General features: G+C 52.3%; 1 protein-coding gene across 3 annotated transcripts in view, besides 1 other annotated feature; it reads right to left on the reverse strand.

Annotated features, from left to right (window-relative positions):
- Positions 1-21,535, reverse strand: part of ITGA11 (integrin subunit alpha 11) — a 135,632-nt gene that overhangs the window by 30,064 nt on the left and 84,033 nt on the right. For all 3 annotated transcript variants that reach the window (XM_011521363.3, NM_001004439.2, XM_005254228.4), the window contains 7 exons: positions 12,905-13,049; positions 9,102-9,250; positions 5,743-5,883; positions 5,264-5,467; positions 4,386-4,516; positions 1,501-1,667; positions 59-201 (listed from right to left, as the gene is read on the reverse strand). In XM_011521363.3, coding sequence (XP_011519665.1) covers positions 59-201; positions 1,501-1,667; positions 4,386-4,516; positions 5,264-5,467; positions 5,743-5,883; positions 9,102-9,250; positions 12,905-13,049 — 1,080 coding nt within the window. The remainder of the gene's footprint in view (positions 1-58; positions 202-1,500; positions 1,668-4,385; positions 4,517-5,263; positions 5,468-5,742; positions 5,884-9,101; positions 9,251-12,904; positions 13,050-21,535) is intronic.
- Positions 15,264-15,859: an enhancer, noted in NCBI's record as "H3K4me1 hESC enhancer chr15:68634197-68634792 (GRCh37/hg19 assembly coordinates)". NCBI's record gives its function as "activates a minimal SCP1, AML or CMV promoter by ChIP-STARR-seq in naive H9 embryonic stem cells {active_cell/tissue: H9 hESC(naive)}" and the evidence as "EXISTENCE:reporter gene assay evidence [ECO:0000049][PMID:30033119]".

The following is a 21,535-nucleotide window of genomic DNA, read 5'->3' on the forward strand; positions in this document are numbered from 1 at the left end:
ACGGCAGATGCTCCTTCCTATAGGAGCTTGGGCTCTGCTGGTGGGGCTGCCAGCTTACCAGGACATGGAAGTTGATCCGCTCACAGAGCTCCTGGCCGGAGGAGAGCAGTACGGCTCTGTTGGTGAATCGGTCCCCGCCCTCGTCCAGGTGGGCCCTCGGTGTATACCGCCTCTCATCCATGGTGGCGTTGTATCTGATGCCTGCAGGAGGGGAGAGGGCAAGACCACAAAGGTGGAGCCACATGCCCATCCAAGACTGTCTGCCTCCTCCAGGAAGCCCCCCAGGCTGGCCAGGGGAGAGCTGTTCCTTTCCTCTCACGAGCCCCAGTGTGGGTGAGAAACTCCCACATGGAGAGCAAGTGATTGCATGAGGAAGGTAAAGGAAGGAACCAAAGAAAAGGGGGAGGAAGAGGGTGGAGAAAGAGCAGAAGGAAGAAGTGGAGGGAAAGTGAACACCGCAGATGAGGAGGGGAGACAGGATGTGGGGCCAGGGTGGTGTCATGTTGAGCCCTTGCTGCAGTCAACAACCCCCTCCGCCTCTCCCTCCACCTTCCCTGTCTTTCCCTGGGCTCTGGGATCCCCCTCAGGGCTGGTCAGAGCCTTTGCTGGGTACTTCCTCTCACACCAAGGAGGGCTGGCCAGCCCCTTCCTGCCGGATCCTCAAATCTCTGACTCTATTCTGGGGCATAAACCCTGCTGCCTCCTCCCCTTCAGTTAGGTTTTGCCAATTCCCGGAAAGGCTCAGTCCCTTCTCCTGTTCTCCAGCACGCCCGCAGGTTGCTGCTGGCTCTCATATCTGTCTCCTCTCAGGGACAGAAGTTGAAAGAGAGGGGCACAGCCCCCAGGCCCACCTTTGTCCTCATCTTCCCTTTGGTCTCTTCTTTGTCTGGTCCTGCTCCTTGGCTGAGAGACTCCCTGAGTCCCTGTTTCCTGTGCCAGCACAGACAGTCCTGGAACCCGCAGCTCACTTCCTGAGACCACCTGGGGCCAGGGCTGTCATGAGTAGGTGTCTGACTCCAGACTTAGCTGGAAGTGATGGACCCTCAGAAGGAAACTGCCCTGCTGTGGACTCACACCCACTTCTGAGCGGGGCTCCCTGCTGCTGGGGTCTCATTGACCTGGCCTCCTGGTTTCCAGCACCCCCCCTGTAGGACTCCTGGGTCTGCATCCAGGCAGACTTCTGGGCTTCCACACCCCACTTTTCTCCACTGGCATCAGTCCTGTGCTCTGATCCAAACTCTACGCCCAGACTGTTTCCTTCTTCTCCTGTCCTCCCTGTCATGATCACCCCTGCTCACTGCCACTCTCACCCTGGCATGACATCCCCTCTTTGCCCTTTGGAATGAGAGCATCAAATGGGATCCAGTAGTCATCCAAGGTGGCTCTTGGGCGACCTGGCACTTAGCACCCATTTTGGGAAAAGCCCAGGCTTTGAAATAGAGCAAGGTGCAGGGGGAGACTGGAGTCTGGGGGTGGGGAGAAAGGAGGGGCCTGCTTTACCAACAGTTGTTGTTTGGAAATGGGGTGCCAGGAAGATGGGCGTGAAGCAGAGGAAGGCGGCCAGGCAGGTGGCATCCCTGCCACTGCGCTTGCAGTCTCTGTGGAAGATGTTGATCTTGGATGGCTCAAAGTGGAGGCTGGCATTGATCTGAACCACTGGGCGGGACCTGGAGGAGAAGGGCCAGTGAGCTGGGGTGGGGCAGGGGCTCAGGCTGCCCTGCTGTGACCATGGGGAAAGACAAGAACCAGATGCGAGTGGGATCTGCAAAGCCACTGGAGGGGGTGAGGTGGAGGATGGAGGGGGCGAGGTGGAGGATGGAGGGGGCTTCGGATGTCAAAGGACTGGCAAGAGCGAGCACGGGGCGAAAGGGGCTCAGCCACCTCATGGCCCCTCCATGCAGCCCCTCAGCACTTTCCCCGAGGGGCTGTGCTCGCTGTGGATCATGCTGACTTCCCTTTGCTCCCTCATCATCTTTTATAGCAGTGGTTCCCCACCCTGGATGCACATGTGAGTCATCTGAAGAGCTTAAAAAAATCCTGGTGCCTCAGCTACACCCTAGGCAAAACCACATCAGAATCAGACCTTAGCAGGTTTTAAAGCAGTGCCTCTGAAATTTTCATATGTGTGCACGCCCCCTGGGGATCATGTTAAAATGCAGATTTTGATCCAATAGCTTGGCACTGATTTTGCATTTCTAACAAGATCCCAGGTGATGTGAACGTTCCATGGACCACACTTCGAAGAGCGAGGCGTTAAAGCACCCCAGGTGATTCCAACGTGCAGCCAGCATCCATCTAACCCCCACACTACCCCATCCAGGTAACCAAGGAAATACAAATTTACCCTTATACCGGCCTAAGTCAAATGTAATTAGGAACGGAAACCTATTGCCTCTCCCAACCATGAATGTATATAAAAAGAAATAGAAGTAGAGTGGCTTAGAGGTTTCATAGCTTCAACATGATGATCTGTGCCAATACTCTGTTCTTCTTAGCATAAAGGTGAACAGCACCTCTGCACTGTAGCGTGAAAGAGTGGATTTGAGTCTTGGCTCCACGGGCTCCTCATTGGACCTTGGCAGGTCACATGATCTTTGCAATGGGGGATTGTGAGGATCAGAGGAGGTGAGAATGTCCTTTGACAGTGTAGAGTGCTGTGTCAACATAGTGGGTTACATCTGAAGTTCTCAAACTTGACTTCCCATTGGAATCACTTGGGGAGTTTAAAAAAAATTACTGCTGCCCAGGTCCCTCCACAGAATTCTGCTTAATTGGTGTGGGTAAAGCCTGGGCAATGACATTTTAAAAGCTCCCCTGGTGATCCTAATGGGCAGTCATGTTTGAGAACTATGGGGCTTGACCATAGTCTTCCCAGAGGGCTCTCGCCCGCAATTTCATCAGTATTTAGGTAGCACATAGGTGTAGACTTCAAAAGCTAGAGCTTGATCCAATCATTTCTGTGAGACCGATTCTCTTGAGGGGTGTGTGTGCACATGTGTATCTTGCTTCCTGTAGAGAAGTTTATATGTTACTTTAAAGACCTGCTAGGTTCTGTGTACCTCCTCCCCGGGCCTTGGTCATCTGCCATGCTTTCTTGGCTGGAACCAACACAGTGGACACCTTTACACACCTTGCAAGCCCAGGCTGCTGTTGCTGCCACCACCACCACCACCAACAAGGACCTAAGAGCCCCCACATGCAGCACAGACCTTCGAAGAGACAGACCCTGCTCCTGTACACTAGCTGGGCTGCACACGCACAGGCCCTGGCTTCCCAGTGCTGCCTAGAGGGCTGGGGCACCACCGGGACTGTTGGGCAGCAGATGCTCTGGCCATGACAAATGAGGGATCTGAGGGAGCCACAAGTCTGCTGCTGCCCCTTCTTCCCCTACAATGGGCTGTTTTACGCCACACTGGAAATGCTGAGACACTGAGCAAAGAGCAGCACGCGTGGTGAGGACAGGCTGGCTCGCTCGGCATCGGTGCTCTCTTCCGGCTTCACTTCTGCTTCTAGGATTGCTCCCACTCCCAAAGCATTCACAGAGGCTTTTGCCTCAGGCTGTTTTCTAGGGAACCTGGAGGAAGACATTTCCCCCTTGGGTTGTAGTATTCTTGTGAACAGGAGCCTGTCTTTTCCTTTATTCTCCCTGTGAAGTTATATATTTCTGTTCAATGCCTTTTTAAAGTTGTAGGCAAATATGATTGCATTTATATAAAATTACAGGCAAGGGAAAAAGACTGGGAGGAGATATACCACAGCATTAATAGTGGCATTGTTAAGGTGATGGCAGGCTGAGTGATTTTTTTTTCCTTGTTTTATAAATGTTCTTTATGTTATTATATTTATGATGAAAAATATCTCATCAACATATATGAAAAAATACTCAAGGTCTTTTTTTTTTTTTGGCTCAAAAAGCAGCAAACATACGGTAAAATAAATGGGTGTTTAGGAAGCATGAAAATGAGGCCCTGAAGAAAGGAAGCAAGAAGTCAGAGCGCTTTGGAGGAAAGAAATCTCTGTACTAGATAAACATTCCTCCACGCCAGGGGAGAAGGAAAGGTCCTTCCAGATGGTAAAAACACGCTCAACTTGCCCCTGCGAGTGTTATAGCTTGAAAAGCTGAAGTGGAAGACATGCTTGAGTAGCCATAACTTTTAGGACAAATTCTAAGAGCGGGGGCTTTTGGACAGGACTTCAATTTATATTGAATTTACACTGATTCCACCAAAAGGAAATGTGTAAGCAAGATGGGATAAGAACAGGGTGGGTCTAGCTGAGGGCAGTTAAAGACAAGAGACAAAGATCCTGAAGCCTATCTTTAAAACCCCTGGATTCATTGTGACTTTCAGGAGAGCCCAGGAGGTGGGAACAGCGGGGGAACCAACCACAGAATCACAGCGTTGCCAAGGGCTCCCACTGCCAGGTCGATGAGCCCATCCTCATTGAGGTCCAATTGCCCGTGGATGCTGCAGCCAAAATACTGGAGGCCGGTAGCCAGCTCTGAGGCTGTGATTCTCTGCAGGGCGCGGGAAGAGAGGGGGAGGGCATGCACACTGTGAGTGTGGGGGCGGGCGTCCCCGAGCAGCAGGAACAATCAGGAACAATAGGGAGCCTGTGTGAAACCACCAAGAAGCTTCCCCAACCCAAAGCAATCTCCTCTCTTGGCCTATCATGGCACCTGAAATTCCTACCATTCAAGTCATTCTTTTGGATTAAAATATCGTGTCTTAAAAGAGTTCCCCATTAAGTGTAAATACATGTTACTTGGAGGCGACCCATCCCCATCTCTCACGCTGGTCTATTTTTTAGGCTATTTTACTGATAAACCGTGTGGGCAAAAGAATGATCCTCAGGGGACGGGACCCGAGACGGGTTGGTTTTGAGGTGGGCATGGTTTCTAGCATGAAGCATTTCCAGAGAAGAGTGAGCCCAGAAGGGATGCTCTACTGGTAGGCAACTGCATGTGTGCGCGTCTCGGGGGGAGTGAGGGTCAGGTGCCAGGGACTTCTTGTTGTTTGTTGTTGGGGGAGGATGAGGGTAAGCAGGGAGAGAGTGCCAAAGGGGGTGATGGGAGGGTCCTGAAGGTAAAATGTGCCCTTTTCAAAATTTCCACTTGGGGAAGCATGGCCAGGACAGATTGGCATCCGTTTCTGTGAGAGGGCCTGGAAGAAAATCCTGAACCAGATGAGGCACAGAAGCTCCTGGGACTCCTGGGACTCCTGCAGCCCCATTTGCTCCATCCGCTTCCCCAGGGAAGCCTGACCTGCTTAGGTGTCTTCAGGATGCTGCCTCGGAAGCCGTGGAAGATGTAGATGGCTCCTGCGTGGTTGTCCTCCAGGGGGGCTCCCACCACCACGTCATTGTAGGAATCCTGGTTGAGGTCTCGAACTGAGGCAATGGAGGACCCAAATCGGGCATTCTGGTAACTGTGTGAATCCTTTAGCGTTCCGTTATAAACAAACAGGTTCTGCAAAACCAGGGGCAGAAAAAGGCTGGGGAGGGTTTGGCAAAAGTCCTCAGGCTCATAATTCCCTCTGCAGGCTGCTCCGGCATCCTCTCACCACTCCATTCCCCAGAACCCCGTCTCTGGCTATATGAACCCAGCCACAGAGGAGGCTCTGATTCTCCCCAGGCCTGGCTCCAGCACTGGCCTCGCTAGTAACGCATTTCCGTCGTGGCTACCCAAGTCAAAGCAGAGGTTGGGGGCACCTGAGAAGCTGCCCAGCCCCTGCCCAGCTGTACCTGTCTCAGCTCATAGACGTACACCTTGCCTCGCTCACGGCCCTCGTTGAAGTACATGGGTGCGCCCACCAGCAGGACATCAGTCACGCCGTCGCCGTCGATGTCCACCGAGGTGATTTCACTCCCAAAGTAAGAGCCTATCTGCGGCACGTGATGGGAGAGAGGAGTGGGCTGGCTGCCCAGCTCGCACAACCCAGAGCCCTCGCCTCGCGGGCAGAGGGAAGCCAAGGTCATCCTTTGACTCAGAATTTTTGGTGAACAAATGGATCCTCCCTTCTCACGCGCTACCTCTCTCTCCTGTCCCTCAGAGTGGACTTGTCTGTTTTCAGTTTGCCCTTCTCCCCTTCCCTCTTTTCCTTCTGTCATTATCCCCTCGCCACTCTTCTTTCTTTCTGTTAATTTTGTTGGTGGCCATTTATCTTGTGTGTAAAGTGATATAATGGCAAAAAATCAGGAGACTATTTAAAAGTATGAAGAAGACATCCAAACATAACTACCACGAACGTTTTAGTGGATTTTATTCTAGTTTTTTTCCCCTGAGGCATGTTGCCTATTTGTAGGTGTGTGTATATATGCTTTTATTTTTACAAATTGGGGTAATAAGGCAAATATAGTTTATATACTGATTTTTAAATAAAACAATACATCATGAACATTTTTCTATGATGTATTATATTTTCATCTACAACATAATCACTGGTCATTCCACAGTGCTCCAAATTATGCATGTATCATAATGTGTTTAATCAGTTATTGCTGGACGGTTAGCTTTTTTTTTTTGAGGCAAGGTTTTGCTCCATCACCCAGACTGGAGTGCAATGGTGCAATCTTGGCTCACTGTAGCCTCAAACTCCTGGGTTCAAGTGATCCTCCCATCTCAGCCTCCTGAGTAGCTGGGACCACAGGCACTTACCACCGCTCCTGGCTGTTTTAAAAAATTATTTGTAGAGATGGGGTCTCACTATGTTGCCCAGGCTGGTCTGGAACTCCTACGCTTCAGTGATCCTCCCACCTCAGCCTCTCAAAGTGCTGGGATTACAGGTGTAAGCCACTGTTTTTAATTTTTGATGTTATAAATCATTCTGGCATTAGCATCGTGGATGGTGAATTATGATTTCTTTCAGTGTCTGAGCACTTGCTGTGTTCCCCTTCTGTTTGGGGTACAGTGCTCCCCACTTCAGTGAGGGCAACATCCACCCCCTCATCAGAAACCCAGAAACCCTGACTCCACCCTCCACCTCTCCCACCCGTAAACCTGCCAGCAAGTGCTACGTGGTGGGTGCCAATTCACCAACTGCTCCCCCCTGCTTCGTCCCTAGGTGAGGCGCCTTCTAAAGGGCCTTCCAGCCTCAGGCTGGCCCCTTCAGCCCACCCCCATGGCAGCTGGCGTGGCCTCTAACACCACTCCACCTCTTGCTTTTGGGATAGTATCTAAACTCTCTAGCAGGACCGTGCTGGACCAGCCTCCCTCCCCAGCCTCTGTCCCCACAAGCTCCTGCTCCCACTGCAGTGCTCCCGGGTCCTGCCAAACTGAGTTATTTCTCTTCTCCAAAGGCCCCAGGCCTTGGCTGGCTTCCAGGCTTCCCTCTGCACAAGCTTTTCTCTTGCATGCACTCCCCGCCCCTGCGTCCTCCCCAGACCATCCCCTGCCATCCCTCAAGTCTCAGCTGATGTGTCACTTCCTGTTAGAAGCTATCCTTGACCTTCTCCACTCTGCTCCCTGCCCCTTTTCCATGTGCCTTCAGCTCCATACTCCTCCCACCAGCCCCCACTCCCTCTGCTGGGAGCCTCATGAGGGCAGGCATTGAGCCTGCTGTGTTCCCTCTTGGCCAGGGTACTTTGCCTGGCACACAGAAGGTACCTAATTAATGCTTATTGGATCACTGGGTAGCTTAGGAAAGGGGAAGGCGCCCTGTTCGTGGACAAGCCCTGTGTGGGATGGTTTATAGCCTTGGGTTAGCTCATGTGAGCCCCATGCTGCTAGGAGAGAGAGTCATCCTCATTTTCAAGGGAAGGAACCAAAACTCAGAGAATTGCTTGCCCAAGGTCAGAAGGCCGGTCACCTGGTCACTGCCAAGCTGGTTGGAACTGGGGTCTGTCTGACACCCTGGCTCATGATTCTGCCTACCCCGTCCATCTCTGGCTTAGCGTGTTTTCAGGAGAAATCTATTCTCAAGGATGAAAAGCTTTTAACTGAGGAGAAGGATAAAAAATTTAGAAGAGAGGAAAGGGAAATAATACACATGGGTGGGAGAGGGAAGAGATGTGCCTACATAAAGTAACTAAGAAGCGGACAGACAGCAAGTGAGGGAGGGGGCGGGAGAAATTTGTCTAAATATGTGGCCTCAGCTATGTGGGTCACCGCGATTTGGAATTCACTTAATTTAGCTGCCTTCAGCACTGTGGTTTCTCCTTCGGATGTTGGAGGCGGAACTGGGCAGGAAAAATGTCATAAATTCATCAGCAAATTCCCTCCAGCTCTCAAGGTCTAGCCCTCGATTCCCAAAAGAGCTGGCCCTGGGTGAGTGTGGGCAGGCAGGGTGGAGGGTGAGAGCTGAGCTGCCTGGGATGGCCTGCACCCAAGAGACAGGAGGAGGAATGGCAGGAGGGTGGCGCTCTGCAGTGAGAGGGATTTAGGTTAGACTCGGTGAGGAGCGGATTCTCACAGTGACCAGCCAAGGGCAGTCAGAGACTCAGGAGACAGGACTGTTCCCAGGCTCAGGAGAGCCGGCAGGGAGCTGGGGACAACATGGAAGGGCCTGGACAGCACTCAGCTCTGGCCTAGAGAGGGCACAGATGCTGCTGGTTAGGAGGAGCCCAGGCCTGATTTTGGGGTTATTTGGGGTCAGGAGGTGGCATGATGCAGGCAGCCCCACCAAGAGGGTTCTTGGCTTGACCCAGTCATGAATTTGCCATAGAACCCTGGGAAAGCCACCTTGCTTCCCAGGAGCCCAGTTTTCCCCTGTGCTGGAAGTGACTTGGGATTGGAGCCCTGTTTTCACCACCAATGACTCTTATAGCTTTCCAATTTGCATTCATCATTGTCCACCACAGGACTCTTGGCAGCACAGTCTGGTTGCCAACCACCTCCCTGTGGGGCAATGGCATTGGCAGCCTTCCCATTCCTCATTGCTTCCATTCCAGGAAAAGGGAAGCAGCTGGCATCCTGGAGGGCCCATGGGGCCTTCTGTAGGTGGATGCGCACTCCTGCCACTCCTGGCAGCATGAAGGTGGCTGGAGGAACATGACTGCCCTTTGGGGCACCCAGTGGTCCAGGCATGCCTGTATTTACTGCCCTCCCATTTGTCTGATCTGCCCCCTCTTCCCTCCATCCCGGCCCCAGGCTCCCCCTCCATTACCTGCTGGCCCCGCATAGCCTGGTGGATGGTGAGGCTCCGGTTGTTGTGCATGGTGAACAGGATGACCTTGCCCGTGTGGTTGAACCGGGGGGCTCCGGCCACGTACACCCGCCCCTGCCTGGAGGACACGACCGATGTGACTGTGTACCCTGCCACAGGAGGAAACAGGCTGATCTTTGGCACCGTGTCCTCAGCAGGCGTTGCTTGGCCCGGTGCATGGCTTGGCAGTGCCAGAGGATGGGCCAGTGATGGGGTAGGTTCAGGGCTAGCTGAGCAGATTCAATCACGCAGGGCCATAATTCCTAGGGGCAGCTGGGGAGGCCTGGAAGAGGCAGGACCCAGGAAGGGGGTTTGGAGGGTAGGGAGAACTCACTGCACCCCAGCCCCTGCTGGAGAAAATAAAGGAAGCCAGGTGGGACTGCTAAAAGACTAACTTGAAATGCACACATCCCTCCTTCACCTGCTCATGAGCACAGCAGAGGGCAATGGGGAGTAGGGCAGACTCTAGCCTCACTTCAGTTAATACTGGGGAGACTTTGTTTTGGTTCCCCACCAATCTTCACTCTTGGAGACTAACCAGGGTTCTCTTTATTACCACAAACGCCTGCTAAGTGGCTCACTGAGGACTAGAGTGTGAGCCGTAAATGTGGAAGGAGTTGGTCTGCTTCAGATATTTACATGGGGTCTCAGGGATTCTTGCAGCCCCAAAGCTTTGCAGACTCAAAGGTGGAAGCTCCTAGGCTCTTGTCAGCCCCATACATACAGCATGCCAAAGAGAAAGAAAAGGAACCCCAGGGGCTCTTTTGGAAAGGCTGCCAATCCCCGCTCCCGGTATGGCTGTGCCTGATCACTGTGAATCTCAAGTCGCCCACCCAGTACCCAGGAAGCAAATGTGCAGCAACTTCAGGCAACTCTCCTGAAAGTGGGCTCCAGCAGGTGTGGAAAGCCGATGGCATCCTAGAATTCCACTTTCTGCCAGATAATCTTGGATCCCAGATTTTAGATGAGTGTTGGACTTTGTTGACAGTTCCTGGGCTGTTTCTGGGGAACAGATGTCCCCTGCAATGCACGTGTGTGAGTGTGTGTGTGCACATATATGCGTGTGCATCTGCGTATCTGTGTGTGTAACACTGTCACTTGGGTCTCATTGGCTGCTTCTAGAGTGGCTATAGGGTGTACAGATGAGCTGACTCAGTGCCTGGGGGTGAACTGCTCTGGTTCCAGACACAACAGTTTTCACTCTTGAGGCTGTACTTTGGGAAATGAGGCTTGACAGGTCCATAATACCAAGACCTCACAAGGGGTGGCTAACATGGCCATGTATTTAGAGCAATCATAAATATATGGGTGGGTGGGCTTAGCCTTGTGGTGTAGGGCAAAGGTTTCTTCTGAGCTGAGCCCTCAGTGGCACTACTGTAAATGTTCTCAGTTGGTCTTGGGCTTCTGGGCCTGCTTGGAAGGAGGGGCACTGAGATGCAGTTTGAGGTCCAAGTGTCCTCTGGGCAGGCATGGGTCAGCATTCAAAGTTCACAGAGCTTCCTGCCTTCCAGCTGTCTGTGGGCAGCACCTTTGGTACCCAGGCAACTCTCTGGCCAGCAGGAAGGGCCATTCTGAGGCTGGGCCAGCCTCCCTGAAGGCCTGATGAAAGGGTAGGACCATGGCCCGAAATTTATACTGCACCCCCAGTGGAGGCTGGGAGCTGGCCTCCTGGTCTCCTTCCCCTGTAGGGCTCCTCTCCCTTGAAACACAGGAGGAATCTTCCAGCAGGCATCTCTGCCCCAGCAGAGAACCCAGACACTGCTCTCACTGGATGACTCCTAGACGGAGGAGGAGGAGGAGAAAAGGCACTCCCTCAAGACCCCCACCCAAGGCAGTGACTGTGGCTAAGGCATGACAGCTGGGCCTCATGAGTGTCCATCAGCCAAGCTCTACCCTATCAGGGTCTTCTGGGAGGGGAAGCAGGGTGGCTTTGCTGGGCCAGGGGGATATTCATCCTGCTGAGCTCTCACTCAGATATGTTCAGCTCCCTGTTGCCAACATGAAAAAGCTCAAACGTCTTAATCTGGCATTCGAGGCCTCCTGCTACAGTCTATCCCAACCTTCCCTCTCCTCCATGTTCCCACTTCTGCCCCCTGCTCCAGCCACACTCATCTACTTCTTGGGTCCTGAAATAACCTGGTATTTCCCACATGTTCCTCCTTTTCTTGGCCCTTCTTGGCTTATTTGAAATGGCCCCTGCGGTGGAGACCTGGTGTAGGCTCCAGCTCCTACACAGTAGGTCCCGAGTGTACCAGCTCGCTGGACCATGGCCAACCACATCGTTTCTCTGACTCACTTGGAATTAACCTCATGGGCCCTGGGACACCCTGATGTGATCTGCCTTGCTGTTTAATGCCTCGAGGCACCTGCACCTTGCACCCCTTCTTTGGTTTCCTCACTTCCAGCACAGGGCTGTACACTTGGGAGGAAACACAATAAAACACGAGTCATTCTAGTTTCTAGTTAAAGGGTTGCTAGCCTTTGTTCTTCCAGCATCTTTCCCAGTGTTTGAGCATTTGCCAAGGCAAGGACTCCAATCTTTCTCTCCTTTATTTGTGCTTTTATCTGAGCTCCTACCTCAATTGTGTTATAATTATCTGCGCACATGTCTGTGTCTCCCACTGGCCCAGAAGCAGCTTGAGGGCAGGCGCTGTGTCCTGCTTACCACGGCACTTAACATGGCACTCTGATGGCATCAACTGCAGGTGCTATGCAATTCAGGTTTAACACCTTGCGAATTAAATGGAACGCAGGCCCTAGGGCCAGGTGCTGTTGGGAAACTTCTAGGGATCTACATTTCTGAATTTTCTAGCACAGTCCTGATTCCAGCATTTTGCCCTTTTGTCAGCTGAGGGTCCCATGGTTGGGGATAGAAAACAGGGTAACCACAGGGTGGGCAGAGTCATAGGCAGGGTATTGGCTAACGAGCTGAGGAACAAAGGTTGGGATGGGATGAAGCATCAGAAAGATGGACGCATGGACAGATTCGCTGTCCACTCTGGGTGGCCCCAAGTCCATGGAGGAGTGGGGTCCGAGGAGGCCTCAATGAGGAGTAACTTCACAGACAGTGGATTTGGTTCAGAAATTCTGAAAGACCCAGAGACAGTGGGGACCCTGAACATCACCCCCCTTGCCGCCCTCCCCTCTGGCCCTTCCTTTAGAAAGGAACAAGCCATGGCGAATGGGACATGCCTGGGGATGGCCAGGTGACTGCTCCTGCAGAGCTGGAAGGTGACTTTGGCCAGCAGGCTAAGGCCTCGCTGCTGGGACCTTCACCATCAATGATTTGTGCTTCTATCTAGATATCCACTTCCAAAGTGCTTCATGGGCAGCGACTTCTGCCTTGATTATGAACATTAAGAAATAAAAATGAATGCAGGTTCCACTCGACTTGCGTTTTGCCTTTGGGAGGCAGGCTCAGTGTACTGGAGCCCTAGGCAGCCCCAAAAGCTTTAAGGCACAACAACAGCTGACCCAGAGTCTAGAAGCACCAAATGAAACACATTGAAGGGAGTGGGGAACTGCTTGTCCTTTATTCTACCTATTTATGGAGAGCCTGTTATACGCTGGGCATGGTGCTGGGCGCGGTGGATACCAGGGTGGAGAGGAAATGCCCCCGGGGATGCTCTTCAGAGTTGGGTGCTTGAATCAGCCCAGAATATACACAGCAGGCCCCTCACTCGTGTGTGGGCTGGGGGTTGTGCAGCCCCTGGGTGCCCTCCCGGCCCACGACCCGCCAGCCTCCCCTCACTCTGCGCTCTTACCCAGGTATGCACCATGGTTCTTGAGCTCCTCGGGGAACTCTTTCAGGTAGGACTCGCGGAGAGGAATGACCTTCCCGGCACTCGTCTCCTTTAGCACAGCTCCATTCCAGTCATAGGCACCGACGGCTCCCAGCAGAACCCCATCCTGGCATTGGGGAGGGGACACACATCAGCACCTGTCCTCATGGGCCAGTTGCCAGGAGCCACATCAGGTCCTATGACCAGTGACGCCTCCACCAGCCACCTCGGGCACCTTCTCCTGGGTGCATTATTTAGCAACCTAACTTCTGGCTGGGGCTCTTGGCTTTTGAATAAGCCAAGGAGACTTTCTTGCCCCATTCCATCCTTGGCACAAAATGGGTCAAATTGATCCCAAGGACAGGAATTTAGGGAAAAAGGAATGTTCTAGAAACAAACTCTAAATCCAGGGCCAAACCTCCATCCCTCCTTGGGCTTCAAAACCCTTTAGGGACCGTCTCGCCACTGTCCACTCCTTCTGACATGTATTGAAGGAGGGAAAGGGCCCCTTGCACTTGCCCTTCTTTAATATTTCTTTGCAGTGTCTGAGTTGCTTCCCTGCACGTAAATCCTACTCCTTGGTTTCTTCAGCAAACATTCACTGAGGTCTCCTTTGTGCCAGGCATTTGTTTGGTGCCAGGGATATTGTCCCCCGTATCCCCGCCCCCAACCACCAGCAACAGAGCTTGAAGATACAAAAAAAAAAAAAATACTCAACAAACATGCAGTTGCAAACTGTGATCAACGCAATCAGGGAAAACCACAGTGAGGCTGAATCTAGATTGAGATGGGGGTCAGGAAAAGTCTTCGAGGATGTCATGTTTACCCGTGTACCTGAAAGATGGGTAGAGCCAGAGAGAAAGAAGAGCTGGAGAAAAGGGCCAGGAACAGTTTGTGCAAAGGCTCTGAGGCTGGAGAGAGCACGGAACCTTTGTTCATAAGGAACTGAACGCTGTTTGATGGGGCTGGAGCACCAAGCAAGAGGGGCAGAGAGCCTTGACATGAGGCTGGACAGATAAGCCAGGGCCACCTCCATGACAGCCAGCACCCAAGGCACTGGTGCTTCTGCTTGTTTCTCAGGGCTTGGAAGGTCTTGTTCTACCCACCAGTTGCAGGACAAGGGGAAGCTGCAATGCTTGGGCAGGAAGACAGGAAACTCTGGCTCCTTGAGGGAAAGTTTCCAGGTTACTGACCCCATGGCCCTTTCTTGAAGACTGGGTCCACTCACCCTCTCTCTCCTGTATCCCCGATCCCCTGCTTCAGCAATCGACATACCTACTGGGTACAGGCAGACAAACAGCCAGCACTTGGAAGAGGAAGGAAAATGACCAGGGACGATGACGGGCCCAAGGAAGGTGGTGGAAACAGGGAAGGGCTGCCTTCTGGGTTACCTTGGTGATTACAGGGGTGGGGGCAGACTGTCTGGATCCCAGCTTTGGGCTTTCAAAACACAGGCTGGTAAATCACCACTCTCTCCCACGGAGCCTTCCCTGAGCCCGGCTGCCTGGCTGCCTGGGTGAGCTTGAGATTCCCACCGCTTTACAGAGTCAAGCTGATCTTATCAAAGGGTTAACAAATCCTAACCCTCCAGAGGTAGAACTGACTGTTCAGACAGAATGTTTTTACAGCTATAAATAAGCTGGTCTTGGGAGAGTCAATGTGCTTGGTTATGTTTCACGTTGTACTTTCTAATTAGCCTTCTTCCTGCTACTCTGTGCTCGAGCCTCAGCCTAGGAGGCTCTGACAGTTTGTTCGGGCCACGACAGGAGCCAGGAACTCATATATTCGCTGTCCACAAAGTCACCACCAACATTCCTGCACGTGGGGTGTGCTCTATTCTTTGTGGAGTACTTTCTCATCTGGCTGCCCATTTGGGCCCAGAGGCCCTGTGAAATCAGAAGGACAGATGTTCATTATTTGCACTTGACAAATGAGCCGTTGAGGTTCAGAGGGGGAAGGGACTTGCCCAAGGTCACACAGCAAGTCAGAGGCAGGGCTGGGGCTTTGACCAGAGAGGTAAGTAGGGCAGAGAAGAAAACATCTATCTGTTTCCCCAAAGCCTGCTGTGGGTCCAGCTTTCCATTTTCCACCTGAACCCTCCTGAGGGAGGGGCGCAGTATTTGGGGTCTGACTTTCTTCCTTGCTTTCCTCCCTCTCTCTGCCTGTTGAGTCCAAGTTTGTAACTGCAGACCTGGCTTCTGTGCTTCATGGACAGGCCTTTGAAGATGAATTTCTGGCTCTGCAGATGACAGGGAGCCCCTGTGATGTACTGAGAAGGGCTGGCTTGGCCCAGGGGCGTGGGATTCAGCCGGGGAGACCCCTCACACTGATTCTCCCTATGGGAGCTTGGGGAATTCCGTCATGACTTCTGGATTTGGCAACACTTGGCCAGGCGATCGCTTACAGTCTCCCACCTCATCCCATTTTAACCCTGACAGCAGCTGCAGTCTTGGGCCTGCAGTGGGAGGCCCTTTCCTGAGAGTGAATTTGTTGTGGCCAGGGAGAGTCTTCTGAGGATGGGGACACTGTGAGGAGTAGACAGGTTAAGGCCACTGAAGCAAGCCTTAGTATGTCACAATCTCTTCCCAGCTGGGGAAGCCCAGACATTTTGAGTTTAGAAAAATCTAGAAGGGTGGGGCAAAAAAAGAGAAGGGACCAAATCCTTAATAGGGGAAGTCAGGCACGTGGGCCCAGCTGGCAAACAAACAGTGGGCATTCCCGGGAAGAGCTGTGTCCCCCGCTCTGCAGGCCTCGCACTGGCTTCCTGTTTTATAGCCTCCTTTCCTATGTGGGGCCACCTGGGCTCCCACCAGATATTACCAGGGTGTGCCTGGGTGGCCTTGCACGAGGGGACCTTCCCCACAAGCTGATTTTCCTGGCGTTCTGTGTAGACATGAGGTCTCAGGCTTGGCAGCTGTCAGAAGGTCTGAGGCCACGCTGTGCCTTCCCAAAGGACGTTGTAGCCCTAGCACCTGCAGTGTGTGTAGCTCCCTCCACCAGACCCTGCCAACTCAGCTCTCAGCTGCCCTCTGACCTGGCCTCTGAGGCAGTCTTGCCTTCCCAGCTGAGCTGCGTGCTCCCAGGGTGTGTGACCATATCTCTCAAAGCCCTGTGTTCCGGCCAGTCCATGTCCCAAGCCAGGGTTGGACCACAGCCCCGGCAGTGAAGGCAGCATGGTCTAGGGCAGTGCTGCTCAGCCGGGGCAGGTTTGTGCCCTAGGTGATATTTGCTTGTTACAGCTGGGGGTAGTGGTGGGGGTGCTACTGGTGTCTAGTGAGTCGAGGCCAGAGATGCTGCTAACCATCCTACAATGCACCAGATGGTCCCTTACGGCAGAGTTATCCAGCCCAAGATGTCACTAGGACAGAGGTGGAGGATCCCTGGCGTGGTGGTGAGAGCAGGAAGGAGTTCTGGAGTCAGAGGCTTCTGAGTTCCACTTCCAGCTCAGAGCTTCTAGCTGTGTGACCCTGGGCAAGTTCTTCTCTCTCTCTCTCTCTCTCTCTCTCTCTCTCTCTCTCTCTCTGAACCTTGAGTTCCTCAGCTGTAAAATAGTTCTGTTGTGAAAATCAGCATTTTTAATTCTTAGCAGGGCACTTGGCAGCCAGTGAGTACTTGGTACATGGTAGCTCTTCTCGTTCATGAATCCATCTGTAAGCATCTCCCCAGTGGTCGGGAGTCGAAGAATCAGGTGTCACAGTCACGTTCGTCATTGCGGTAGCATGTGAGAAGTGCTCTGATGGAGTCAGGGACCGGTTATTTTGGCAGTCCCAGGAGCAGGTGAACAACTGAGAAGAGGGGGTGAGTACATAGTAGGGTTAGGAAAGGCTTTTAAGAAAATCTTACTTGATTTATTAGTAAGTCTCAAAACGAACACTTCCAGTTCCAAGCCTTGATTCGATTTCACAAATATTCTTCAGACATCTACTAAGACAAGCTCAGACAGGTCAAATGATTTTTCTGAGCCCACATGCCAGACAGTGCTTCCCTCTTGCCCAGTAGTCACGGAATTAGGATACCAGGTGCCAGTAATTCTTCCTTCTAGCTCTTTTTGGCTTTTGTGAGGCAAGACGATGGAGCCAGGTGGAGGTAGTCGCTGGTGGTGCTGTGGGCTGGTGTGATGGGAGACCCCTAGAGGACACCGAGGCTGTCCTCCCCCGCCAAACTCCCGAGAGTCCACGTCAGAGTGGCTGTAGAGGGGTGAGGCTCTGTTCCCAGGAGCCCCTTCTAAGGCACATACACCATTTAGAGGGTGGATTATGCTTTTTCACTAATGGCTTGGAGTCTTAGAAGGCTTGTTTCAACAAGCTTGAAGTGGACCTGAGGAAGGGATGAATGGCCAGGAGGCTTAAATGGGGTGTGGGCAGGAAAGGCCCAGAAACAGCCCCTCTGCCTTTCTGTGGAGGAGGGGCCCTCACCATGTGCGGTGCTGGAATCCGGCAGCTGGGGTGAGCAGAAGGGGCCGCGGGGACCTGGGCGTGCTACACTGACTGCTCATTCCCCATCAGAGTTGGTTGCCTCCTGTCAGAGGCCCTGGGAAAGAGACCCAGGAGTGGGCACTAGGGCACAGCCTGAGGATATGGGGCCAGGCTTAGGAGGACCCGAATGAACCAGAAATGATTCCTGCCACCAGGAGACAACTCGCAAACCCTTGGGACCAGCGTGGCAGAGGACCTCAGCTGCTGTGTCCTGGACCCCTGGGGAGAGGGCCAGGAGACCATCTTGACTGCCCGCCCAGCCTGGCAGGTGAAGGAGTCTATTGTTTAGGTCTAGGGGGGCACAGGAGGGGTTTACAGCTTCCACAGGTCAACTCCTCAATTCACCATTATCCATCAGCTTCTCTCATTTTTTGTTGAATCAGATACGCAAAACCAGTTCAAATGCGAAACCCTTAGGGAAGATTACACCTCTAAAGCTTCAGCCACTAAGAACCTTAGCGAATAGCCAATACCCTTCATTGTCTAGACCTCAATCCCAGGAGGGCCTGTGGGATGGGCACAGGCTGAAGAGGCAGGAGGGTGGCTGGGGTAGCTCATCTGGGATGTTTATACCTCCAGAGGGGGACTAGACTCGAAGACTCGGTAATCCCATGGGCCTTGAGGGGAAGAAGCGGAGGGAGAAAGAGGACTACAAATAATTGATGCGCATGGGTGATGGTGCTGCAGAGGACCCTCCCACACAGGGCTCAGCTGAACTTGACCTGCTTCATAACAGAACTGAGCACTGGTCCTGTTAGGTCATCACGTGCAGGGTAAGTGACCTCACCTTTAGGTACAAGAGAAAAAGGATCTCTTCCCACCTTGGGTGAGTCACCAAGGTTTCTGCGTAGACAAGATCTACCCTGATAAAACTGCTTCCTTCTGTAAACTTTTGGAGTTAGGGCAGATTTAGGATTCCAGTGTAGGAAGGCGGATGCGAAATCCCTCCAGCTGAGCCCTCTGCACACCGTCACCCATGCCCATCAATTCTTTGTAGTCCTCTTTCTCCCTCTGCATCTTCCCCTCAAGGCCCATGGGATTACAGAGTCTTAGAGTCTAGTCCCCCTCTGGAGGTGTGAATCCCTTCTCCCAACTTTCTGGCAGATTGTTGCAGCTCCTGCTTGATTACCCAGCTTGACAGGTAGTTCACTACCTCAGCAGACAGCCAGCACTAATGGAAGCCACTCTGGCTCTTAGTGACCTTTGCGTTCATTTCCAAATGCTAATGGAAGCATTAGCTTAAAAATGTATTCTAAAGTCTGACCAGGGATCCACAGCTAGCCTTCCTGATGATAATTTTTGGAATATTTTCTTTCCCCTTTCTGCAAATCAAGACTAGGGTTTCCAGCTACCCGGGTTTTCCCAATGGCTCAGACGTTTTGCCTTCAGCCTGGAATGTAATGTTTTGGGGCCCTGGACTCTGTGGGTGTCCAGGTGATGTCTTGGGGTCTCCCCTGTACCCTGGGCTCTGGTCCCTTCTCTCTCCTGTTGTTTTTACCCTTGCTAATTCAAAGACTGATTTCCTTGCTCATTAAGACGGCAGCAAACCAAGCAAGGAGGAGCCGGGCCTTTCTTCTGCCATCTGAGAACATTCTACTAGGGATCTCTCCTTCTACCAGAACTAAACAGGCCCGGGGAAGCCCCTCAGGCTCCTTCAGTATCTCTTCAGGCAGCAGCTGTTTGAGACCATCTGTGGCGCTTCTGGCAGGGAGGAAGCCTGGGGGCTTGCCTGGGAGACAGACATGCTCAGGGCAAAGTGGAAAGGCTGGACCCAATAGCCCTGATCCCCAGAGAGGCCTAACTGACCCTGAGAGCTGAGGAGTTGGACTCCTGGGGACAGGATGGCTGTGGCCATTCATGATGGCATCAGCGGCCTGGCACTGAAAGACGTCTGTGCTCTAAAATAGCCCCCAGTGCCCGGTCACAGAGCCAGCCAGCCCATCATGCTTGCACCATTCCTGTGCATTTGAAAGGTTTTTGTTTTTGTTTTTGTTTTTAATACTAAAGAGTCTCAGATTCAAATGCGATCGTTGTCTCTCTTAAAGTCAAATTAGATGAAAATATCAGGGGTGATGGAAGAACTAGGGTATGAGGAAGAGTCAAGCTAGGTCCCTGTGTCGGGGTGATGGAAGAACTAGGGTATATGGGAGAGGCAAGCTGCATCCCTCTGCCTGGGGAACAGAGAAGTTGAGCATATGTGGAAGGGGCTGCACATGGCAGTCATGACCTTGACGTGACCGAAGTCTTGTGCTGAGGCTGTGAGCTCCTGGGTCTCCTCACTCTGGAAGCTGGGGAACCTGTTGATCCTGCAAGGACTCACCTTGCTCAACACTGAACTGCTGGAGCCATTTTCAAGGCTCAGCTCAAGCTTCCCTGAGTCCCTGAAGCCCATTTTAATGTCCTCCTCTTTTTAGATTCCCCGATTCCTAGGCAGACACAGATCATGATTTTAGAAGCAGGACAGTGAGCTGATTATTTAAGAGTCTTTCTCCCCAGCTAGGCTATGAATGGCTGTCAGCTGAAATGTTTCTTTAATGTACCTGGTACAGAGTCTGACACACATGAAGATACTCAAAAAATGGCTGTGAATGGACAAAGGAAACATTGGGACATTCATTTTCTCTTCTGTCCCCAACACCAGGGCTGACCTCTGAGCTGTGCCAGGATGTCACCCAGTGTGTGTCCATAATGCTCTCTGTTCTCCTGCTTACTGCCACCCAGGACTGCTGAAATCCGTGTCCTTTAGGGGCAGCTCGAGTGCCAAGCCCTCTCCGGATCTTTCCCTGACCACCCCTTCTTTTAGTGGAGGCCCTTCCTTCTATACTACCTTGATCACGTTGCTTTGGTTAACATTAGACATGTGCATGTCTCCCCCTATCCCCTGCATTGAGCAGGGGGTCTTCACAGGGGATCTTCGGATGAGGGGGGCCTCCAGGTATTGTACACTTTTACCTAGAAGGCATCTATAGTTTCTTTCATCCTACTCTCAAAGCTAAGAACTGCCGTTCAGGATTGTTTACAAGTTGACTCCTGGTGGCAAGAATCATTTCCGGGTCCTTTCAGCACTTTAGTGGCACTTGACAAATGCATGTAGATTTAATTAAATTGCATTTCCTTGTTGCGTTTTCTAATCAGCTCTGACGTCAGAGTCTGGAGACCAGGGCTGGTCCTGCCAGAGCACATGACTCTGCTGGCCCCCACATGAATGGATGCTCTCACCTCGCTGTGCTGGGCTCTTTACCCTCAGACTCTGAGCTCCTTGAGGGCAGGGCTCCCGCCTCTGATTCTCCTGGCATCAGGCTCAGGACCCAGCACAGAGAAGGCACTGAAAAGAGTGGCTGATCCAACCACCTAAAATGGGATAACTATCATCACCTGCCAACCTTGTAGGGCTGTTCTGGTGTGAAATGAGGTGCAGGAATTTCCTGGAGAAGTTTAAACCGCTGTGCACATGTAACAGGGCTGTTATTAGGATAGGGCAGCTATATTTACATCTTGCTGTTATTCAAGACAGTGGGCATGAAACTGTCCAGATGCAGCTCAGAAAAGTCTGAGTGTGAGTGGCATTTCCGTCCATCTGCCGGCTGCATGTCACGCACATGTCCCCCTCCCCTCCAGTTTGGAAGTTCTGACTCAGACCCCCGGAGATTCCCTCTCACGGAGCAGCTGCTTGGTGTAGAGGAAAGAGCACGAGACTAATATTTTTTCTGAAGAATTTTACTCCAGCAGGTCACTTAACCTTCTCATGCCTTGAATTCTTTATGTGTAAACTAGGAACAAGGAGTCCTGCCCTATCCACCTCACAGAGGAGTTAGGAGAGGGCAACAGGATGACAGTGACATATAACTAGGATGCACTAATGGGCCTTCTCTGGTAAATTAGGAGGAATAAGTACACTCTCATGGTGCCAGCCCAGGCAGAACACACATACACACACACACACACACACACACTTGCACACACATGCACCTGGGACACCTGTCTGTGCAAAGCACACCCACAGGAGCACGTATCGATACTGACAGATGCAGTCGGTACGTTTTCCCACATGACAATCCTGGGCAGGACTTTACAGTACATTAAGCATATTCACAGACATCGACTCTTCTGTCCCCCTTGCAGTCCTGGGAGGCTCCAG

The sequence above is a fragment of the Homo sapiens genome, chromosome 15 (genome assembly GCF_000001405.40).
Source record: "Homo sapiens chromosome 15, GRCh38.p14 Primary Assembly".
Taxonomy (NCBI): Eukaryota; Metazoa; Chordata; class Mammalia; order Primates; family Hominidae; genus Homo; species Homo sapiens.